General features: G+C 38.6%; 1 protein-coding gene across 10 annotated transcripts in view, besides 1 other annotated feature; it reads right to left on the bottom strand.

Moving 5' to 3' along the window:
- TMEM117 (transmembrane protein 117) overlaps window positions 1-9,217 on the bottom strand; it is a 603,307-nt gene that overhangs the window by 86,290 nt on the left and 507,800 nt on the right. The window lies entirely within an intron of this gene.
- Window positions 4,086-4,586: an enhancer, noted in NCBI's record as "H3K4me1 hESC enhancer chr12:44702016-44702516 (GRCh37/hg19 assembly coordinates)". NCBI's record gives its function as "activates a minimal SCP1, AML or CMV promoter by ChIP-STARR-seq in primed H9 embryonic stem cells {active_cell/tissue: H9 hESC(primed)}" and the evidence as "EXISTENCE:reporter gene assay evidence [ECO:0000049][PMID:30033119]".

The raw sequence follows: 9,217 nt of genomic DNA, 5'->3' as shown, positions 1-9,217 counted from the left end.
ACCATCTCACATCTGTCAGAATGGCTATTATAAAAATAAATAACAGATGCTGATGAGGCTGCAGAGAAAAGGGAATGTTTATGTACTGACGGTAGGAATGTAAATTAGTTCAGCCCCTTTGGAAAGCAATTTGGAGATTTCTCAAGGAACTTAAACAGAACTACCATTCAACTCAGCAATCATATCACTGGGTATATACTCAATAAAAAATAAATCATTCCATCACCAAAAAGACATGTGCACTCACATATGTATCACAGAGCTATTCACAATAGCAAAAGACATGGAATCAATCTAAGGGCCCAACAGCGGTGGATTGGATAAAGAAAATGTGATGCATGTACACCCTGGAATATTACACAGCCATGAAAAAGAAAAAATCATGTCCTTTGCAGCAACATAGATTCATCTGAAGGCCGTCATCCTAAGTAAATTAACATAGGAACAGAAAACCAAATCCTGCATGTTCTCACTTATAAGTGGGAGCTAAACATTGGGTACATATGAACATAAAGATGGCAACAAGAGATACTGGGGATTACTAGAGAGGGAAGGGAAGGGACAAGGGCTGAAAAACTGAAAATCTACTTATTGGGTACTATGCTCACTACCTAGGTGATAGGATGATGCACACCATAGATGATAGGATCATCATCCTATGATCATTCATAGGATCATTCATCAACATCAGCATCACACAATATACTCATGTAACAAACCTGCACAAGTACCTCCTGAATCTAAAATAAAAGTTGAAATTATTAAGAAAAATAATGTACCTTGGCCTCCATGACCTTTTCCTTCCCCTGGCTCTTGCCCAGAAACCCATCTGGCATGTAAAGAGGAGGATTGACCTGGCCATCAAATGCCAAAAGAATGGGAGGAAAAATATATATATATATATACACACATATATATATACACATATATATACATATATACATATATATACATATATATACATATATACATATATATACATATATACATATATACATATATATACATATATACATATATACATATATATACATATATACACATATATACATATATATATACATATATACACATATATACATATATATATACATATATATATTTAATATTAACTGAAAATTTATTGGGAAGCTGAAGCTGGATGTAAGATGTAACATTATGTATAATACAGCAAAATTGTTTTGAAAATCCTCTCTGTTACAATTTCTGTTGGCTGTGGCAGCTGTCATCTCTACGTCCTCCCTCTTTCTTTCCCCATAACAAGTCTTCTCAACCTTCTGCATAGGCAGGAATACTCACCTAGGTTCCTGAGCTTCTCCAGTTTGCATCTACACCCACCACCCTATTCATTAAAACAAAAGATCTTTCTTGGCATTCACCCTCTTTAGAAGGCCCAGGAAGGGATTATAAACAACTACTTATCTTTTTTCTAGACACATTTTTGTGTGTAAATTTATTTTGTTATAAAACTGAGATATATGTACCTCCTTGATTTCCTGCTGTTTCTCTGCTTTAGACCTTATTCGACTTGCCAAATGAATGTACTCAGCTACTGAAATCAAAGGTTGAACAAACGGTAATCTCTCAGATATAAATATCGTTTTCAGCATACATATATGTATATACATATATATATATACTCACATAAAAATTGAGAAAAATGTATCCAGAATATATTTAGTTTTATTTTTCAGCTTTCCACAAATACACAACAGTAGTGATATAGTTTTATAGGAGAAATTCAAAATTCTGAACAATTCCCCAAACATCTTCAAATGCAATAAACTGAGACTATCATCTAGCAGTTTAGAATTTTCTTGCAGTTCTGTCATGTACAGCCATCTGATCAAAGCAATAGCAAACATTCACTTATTACCAGAGTTACATGAGAGCTGAGAAATCATAGTCTAATTTTAAACTCGTATTTCCAGGCAGAATCCCCTAGTGATTCTCATACTACTAGATGTAAGAGGAAGACCCAAGAATCTGCATTTTTAAGCAGAACCCAGGTGCTTCTAATGCAGGTAACTATGATTGCAAGAATCATCTGTAATGATTTAAAGGAACATATATCCCAGGCACCATTACCCACTTACTAAACAAGAAACTCCTGGAGCTCTTCTGATCCAGAGAACTCACATCTCTGTAAAGGTTCCGGTGATTATTTTGTGTGCTTGTGAGAGACGGAGTTTCGCTCTTGTTGCTCAGGCTGGAGTGCAATGGTGCAATCTCAGCTCACCCCAACCTCCGCCTCCAGGGTTCAAACTATACTCCTGCCTCAGCCTCCAGAGTAGCTGGAATTATAGGCATATGCCACCACACCTGGCTAATTTTGTATTTTTAGTAGAGATGGGGTTTCTCCATGTTGATCAGGCTGGTCTTGAACTCCCGACCTCAGGTGATCCACCCGCCTCGGCCTCCCAAAGTGCTGGGATTAGAGGCGTGAGCCACTGTGCCCTGCCCCCAGTGATTCTTATCATCAGATAACAGTGAGAATCACTGCCTTAGAGTATGCCTCTATTTGTAGGTTATGGCTACATTGTTTCTCCTACTCCAAATTCTTTATATACCGTCATATTACTATAGTTTTTCTTAGTTAAAACCAAAGGTCTGAATGATCAATTGTAATTCAAAGAAAAACTGAAACATTTTTCAACTAAATTAATTTTCTTCTATCCACATTATGTACTTTTGACATGCAAAAACATCATACTTCAAGCATTTAAAAAAAATTGACCATCACAAAAAAATCTTGTAACAAGAGGAAGGAAAAAACTGTCATGCTATCAACGAGAAAAGTGGATTCCTAGAAACAAGCTGACTTAACTAAGGTCACACTGCCACTAAGAACTATGCAGCCCTGACTTTAGTCTATTGCAAGAGTGTTCCCGTCATTCACTAAACTTCCTATCACCTGCAATGTGCTTTGTTTTCAACTTTGTATACAGCATATTATTTCATTTTATATGCACAACAGTAAAACAAGTTATGAAAAAAAGTATGGTCTTTGAAGTCAGACAGATCTGTTTTTTTTTTTTTTTTAATTCTCATTCTGCTGAATCCAGACTGTATCTGTGTGCCTTAGGAAATTCCCATTTTCTTCTCATTTGTAAAGTTATAAATAATATTAATAATATTATCCTTATTGGAAGGTTTTGTAAGATTAAATGAAATAAAGTACATCTAAGCATCCAGGACAGTGCCCAGTACATATTAAGTGCTCAATGAATGTTGGCCTTTTAGTTTTTCTGCCTTCTTCCCTCCCTCAACTCCTGTCTTTTTAGTCCAGTAGTGTTTTCATTGCACCATTCTGCCCATCTTAGTAGCTTGTTCCTCATTTCACTGTGCAGTGTTCTCATATGGTCTCCTGTTACTGGATTCCACATTTAATCTAACTAGACTTGACACTGAGCCTCTTGGACAACATTCTCCAACGTGCCTCTTCACGTCCAACTCCAGAGTTAATAAACCTTGACTTAGAAACTGCCCGTTGGGGTAGTGGGTAGAGGTTCAGAAGACCCAGCTTCTACATCAGGTCCTGCCACTGACTGACTTTATGACCTTAGGCAAATTAAAGAACCTCCCTGGGCTTCAGCTGTAAAACTCAAGATATGAAAAAGTGATCCTAAATTTTCCTCCTGCTCTAAAATTTCATGACTTCATGATATTAATGAACTTGTCGGTCTAACAATAGCTCTTTTTCATTTCTTATTTTAGGCATGAGTTTAAAATGAATGCTCTGAATTATAGAGGATTGTTATACTGGCTTCCATGATTCCATTGCCTACAAAGTTCTTTTGTAATTTGTTCCTTAGCTTTATCATTGTAACTTAAAAAGCTCATAGAGGAGCCCATAGAAATACTTCATATCCCTGACAGCATCCATTAAAAATAGTTACAGGCCGGGCGCAGTGGCTGACGTCTATAATCCCAGCACTTTGGGAGGCCAAGGTGGGCGGATCACGACGTCAGGAGATCGAGACCATCCTGACTAACACGGTGAAACCCCGTCTCTACTAAAAATACAAAAAATTAGCCGGGCGCGGTGGCAGGCGCCTGTAGTCCCAGCTACTGGGAAGCCTGAAGCAGGAGAATGGGGTGAACCCGGGAGGCGGAGCTTGCAGCGAGCCGAGATGGCGCCACTGCACTCCAGCCTGGGCGACAGAGCAAGAGTCTGTCTCAAAAAAAAAAAAAAAAAAGTTACAAAGAATCAGTCCATCAGATCTAGGAAAAGCTTGCACCATAGCTTGCATTTAGCATCACCTATACAATTCTGACCTGAAGTACAGCAGTGCTCTGAGTTTGGGTGCCAATAGCATGGCTGAATGTGTCAGTCTTCAATGCTGCACTTTTTTTTACTGGGTACAAGTGAGACAATGACAAGTAGCAACTACTACACAAGACTTCCAGGGCCAACCTTGACACACATGCAAAGATGAGAGTGAGGGATAGGGCTGAAATATTCTTTTCAGAGCGATGGTCAAGCTCTAATTATAAGAAAAAGCACATTCATTGGAAAAAGACAAATGCAAATGAGTTATATCTTGCTGCTTCAGGATGGCTTTGAAAAAATTCCTGCCCATCTGCAGTAGTATAGAATTTATATATTTCCAGTTTTTTAAATCATGTTCTAGCTCTCTTTTAAACGAATACCCCAGGGACTGAAGCATTTTACTTTAAATTGGGATAAAACTTGAATGTCTCTATTTTCCACTTACTTAACCAAATCTTATAATTCCTTCAAACTACATTCTTTCCATGTTATACATAAAAACCTGAGTGATCTCTCCCGCTCACGATAATCCCTCACAGAATTTACTATCAGTTTCAACTGTCATCTATATCATATGCTAACCAGACCATTAGTTTCATTTTCAAGTGAATGCGTTTGTCACTCCAGTACCCATGATTGAATCCTAAAAGTTTTTGCCTGATAAACCCAATGCTTCCAGCTCACTATTACCTTCTGCCAAATTCCTCTGATACCATGGGCCACCTGTTAGGACATCCTCCTTGGCACTTCATGCAGACTACCCACTTGGCTGGACTCCTTCCTTCTGTATGGACAAACTCACCGTGTTAAGTCTGTCTACTATTTGGAGGTCTGTTGCCAGGACTGCTAATAAACATGATGCAGTCCTCCTCCGTGATTCTCCCTGAACACTCTGTCTCCCCGCTGTACTAGCAGTAATGAGGGAAGTGAGAGTAAATAAAGTTGAGATTTAATCCCTTAAGCACATACCATGAGGAGAGTAGGCATTTATGGTTAATCCAGGTATTACCTAAGTGATAAGCCCTTTATTCCACGTCACCACTTGGGACCCTATAACAGAAGCCAGCACTATTGTGTTTTCAAATAGTATTTTTCCTTTAGTAAGGAAAAATGAAGATGTTAAACACATGTAAAGAGGAACTTAAAATAGTTTGAAGAAGTTATAGAAAATACTCCCAAAGCTCAAGGAGATGTTAAATCTAGTGGACAAACATTTAAACAAATCTTTCTTTCTAAGTAGCCTGTAAATGTAATCAGTTGGAATAACTTATCTTGAAAATATATTCCAACTTGTTAAAACACCATGACTATTTAATTAACATAGGTTTATGCTTGTTGCTCTGCCATATGCTCTGAAATGACTGAATCCACTTTCCACAACTGTGACCTCAAAAGAAATGCTCTACTAACGTCAGGTCAATGGGGTTTTAAAATAAAGTCTACCAAGAGTCACAATGTCTATTTTTAAAGTAGTCAACCTACTTCTTAGAGCCACGCACAAAACAGAATACAAACACACTTCAAATCTGTTACATGGTGAAATGTTTGTGGAATGCAATTTTCATGATTATTTTTTCAGTGCATTAACAATTGCTTTTCAGGAAATATCACTTCTCTCCAAGTGCCTTTTGACTATACCACAGAGTGCTTTTTAACACCTAACGACAATTTATTCAGATTTATATTTAGATAGTTAATTACTGTAAGATCATACTTCAGTGAAAATGACCAAATGTAATATTATTGATAGTTCATTCTCCTGCTGCTGGTATTTCACCTCTTGAAAAATCACATTATTTGGTGCATGTGAAATAATGTTACATTAATTCCTTTACTCTTTCACAAAGCAAAATATTTATGGTAAAACTGCAATGCACTAATCATGCTGTGGGAATGAAAAAATTGATAAAACACTTCCTCTCCTCAAGGAGCTTACACATTATAGGAGGTATGTATGTACACAGGTGACAAGCAGGTACTTAGATAAATTACAGGAGACAGAAGTATTGAAAGATATCAATAGTATAAGGATCCAAAACTTGATCTTTGAAACTTTCTTTTTTTAATAGTCTCTCCTCTATTCAGCTTCTGTTATGAACTTGATGCACATAAATCTAAGATATTACACACACACCTGCACATATATATCTATGTATATAGGCACACATATATTTGTATTTATTGATATAGAAATATGAGTAGATTTCTGCTAGGTTTATCATCTACTTTCCATTTTTTTCTTTTTCTTTTTAAAATAATTTCCAATTTTATTATAGACTCAGGGGGTCCAAGTGCAGGTTTGTTACATGGGTATATTATGTGATGCTAAGAATTGGGGTATGGATGGCCCTGTTGCCCAGGAGAGAGCATAGTACCTGATGGGTAGTTTTTCGGTCCATTCCCCTCTTCCCTTCTACCCTCTCCAGTAGTCCCCAGTGTCTGTAGTACCTGTTTTTATGTTCACCTGTACTCAATGTTTAGCTCTCATTTATAAATGAGAACATGTGGTATTTGGTTTTCTGTCCCTCTGTTAATTCACTTAGGATGATGGTCTCCAGATGAATCCATGTTGCTGTAAAGGACATCATTTCATTCTTTTTCATGGCTGTATAGTATGCCATGGTGTTCAGGTACCACATTTTCTTTATCTGATCCACTGTTGATGGGCACCTAGGCTGGATGAACATATGTGTGCATGTGTCTTTTTGGTAGAACAACTTCTTTTCCTTTGGGTATATACTCAGTAATGGGATTGCTGGGTTGAATGCTAGTTCTGTTTAAGCTGTTTGAGAGATCTCCAAACTGCTTTCCACAGTGGTTGAACAATTTACATTCCCACCATTAGGGCATAAGCATTCCCTTTTCTCTGCAGCCTTGCCAGCATCTGTTATTCTTTTTAATCTTTTTTATAATAGGTCAGACTGACAGCTGTGAGATGGTATGTCATTCAGTTTTGATTTGCATTTATCTGATGATTAGTGATGATGAGCATTTTTTCATATGCTTGTTGGCTGCTTGTCTTTTTTTTTTTTGAGAAGTGTCTGTTCATGTTCTTTTGCCCAATTTTAGATGGGATTATCTGTTTTTTGCTTGTTGAGTTGTTTAAGTATCTTTTAAATTCTAGATATTAGACCTCTGTTGGATGTATAGTTTGCAGATATTTTCTCCAATACTGTGGGTTGTCTTTTTACTCTCCTATTTCTTTTTCTGTACAAAAGCTCTTTTGTTTAATTAGGTCTCACTTGTCAATTTTTGTTTTTGTTGCAATTGCTTTTGGGGACTTAAGTCATAAATTCTTTGCCAAAGCCAATGTCAAGAAGGAAGAGTCTTTCCTCATGGTTACCACTGCCCCAGGCCCATGGCAAGTACTGCCTGGCTACTGCTGATGTTCACACAAGATCCAATGGCTGTTTAGTCAGCTTATGGTATATACTGCCAGGCCTGGCTCTCTCCTTTCAGGAATGGGCTCCCCTCTGGCCCAGGATGAGTCCAGATGTGTCATCTAGGAGCCAAGGCCTGGAGTCAGGAACCTCAGGAGCCAACTCTGTGCTCTACCCCACTGCGGCTGAGCTGGTACCCAAGCTACAAGACAAAGTTCCCTTTACTCTTCACTCTGCTTTCCTCAAGTAGAAGGAATATCTCGCCATGGCCACCACAGGTGGGGATGTTTGGGTTTCACCTGAAACCAACATGGCTCTGGATGTCACTCAAGGCTGCAGTGAGTACTGCCTAGCTACTCCTTATGTTCATTTAAGGCCCAAGGGCCCTTTAGACAATGGGTGATTAATCTTGCCAGGACTGAGTCCTTCCCTTCAAGTCAGTGGGTTCCCTTCTGGCCCAGAAATGTTGTCCAGAGGTAGAACCTGAAATAGGGGCCTCAGGACTCTCTCTGGTGCCCTATTCTACTGTGGTAAGCTAGTATCCAAGTTGCAAGACAAAGTCCTCTTTACTGTCTGCTCTCCTCTCCTGAAGCAGAGGAAAGGAGTCTGTCCTGGAGCTGTGAGCTGCACTACTAGGGATTGAAGAAGGAGTGGTTCAAGCACTCCCTTGGCCACCCTGGCTGGTGTCTCACTAGGTCGCATGACACAAAGTCTACTGCCTCCAAGCTCAGCACAGCACAAGGACTAGCCAAGAAATTCCAAGTCCTTGTGGCCTAGACTGCCTTTCAAATTTATTTGGGATCCCAAAGCACTTTAGCCTGCAGTTGGGAGGCTACCAGAAATTCCCCTCTGGCTAGGGCTGGTCTAGATGCTCTCTATGTGTGCCAGCTGAATTTTGCCCTGTGTTGCATTCTGCTATGACAGGCAGCACTAAGTTCCAATGCAAAGTCCCATAGTCACTGTGCTCTCCTCCCTCCCCTAAGCACATAGATTCTGTGCCACGTGGCCACTGCTGGGGGATGGGGGAAGAGAGGTATCAGCAATTCAAGACTGTCTCTCTTACCCTCTTCAGTGCCTCTTTCCTAATATAATGTTAAAACCAAGCACTGTGATCATTCATCTGATTTTTGGTTCTTATGGAGGTGCTTTCTTATATGAATTGTTAACTTTCATGCTCCTATAGGGGGACGATCACTGGAAGGTTCTATTTGGATATTTTGCTCCATTTGTCCCACTTTTTTCCTTTGTTTACAAACATATTTTAACTCTTTTTTAAAAAATTGTGTAAATTTATGGGGTACAAGTGTAATTTTCATACATGGATAGATTGTGTAGTGGTGAAGTCTGCACTTTTAGGGTATCCATTACCTGAATCTTTTCCTTAACCTAGCAAAGAAGAACGGTGGGTGGGATATGCTACAAGTCAAATACTTATGCAAAGAAATAGAGGGATATATATAAATCAAATGACATAATTACAAATACTTAACAGAAACTGAGATAAAGTTTTCCTTAGAAGAATGTTTTCTCTACAATTTATTTCTTGTGTCCTGTACGTAGCATG

The sequence above is a fragment of the Homo sapiens genome, chromosome 12 (assembly GCF_000001405.40).
Source record: "Homo sapiens chromosome 12, GRCh38.p14 Primary Assembly".
In the NCBI taxonomy this organism is placed as follows: Eukaryota; Metazoa; Chordata; class Mammalia; order Primates; family Hominidae; genus Homo; species Homo sapiens.
Note: the sequence above shows the minus strand (reverse complement) of the source record. Positions and strands in the feature narration are given on the sequence as shown.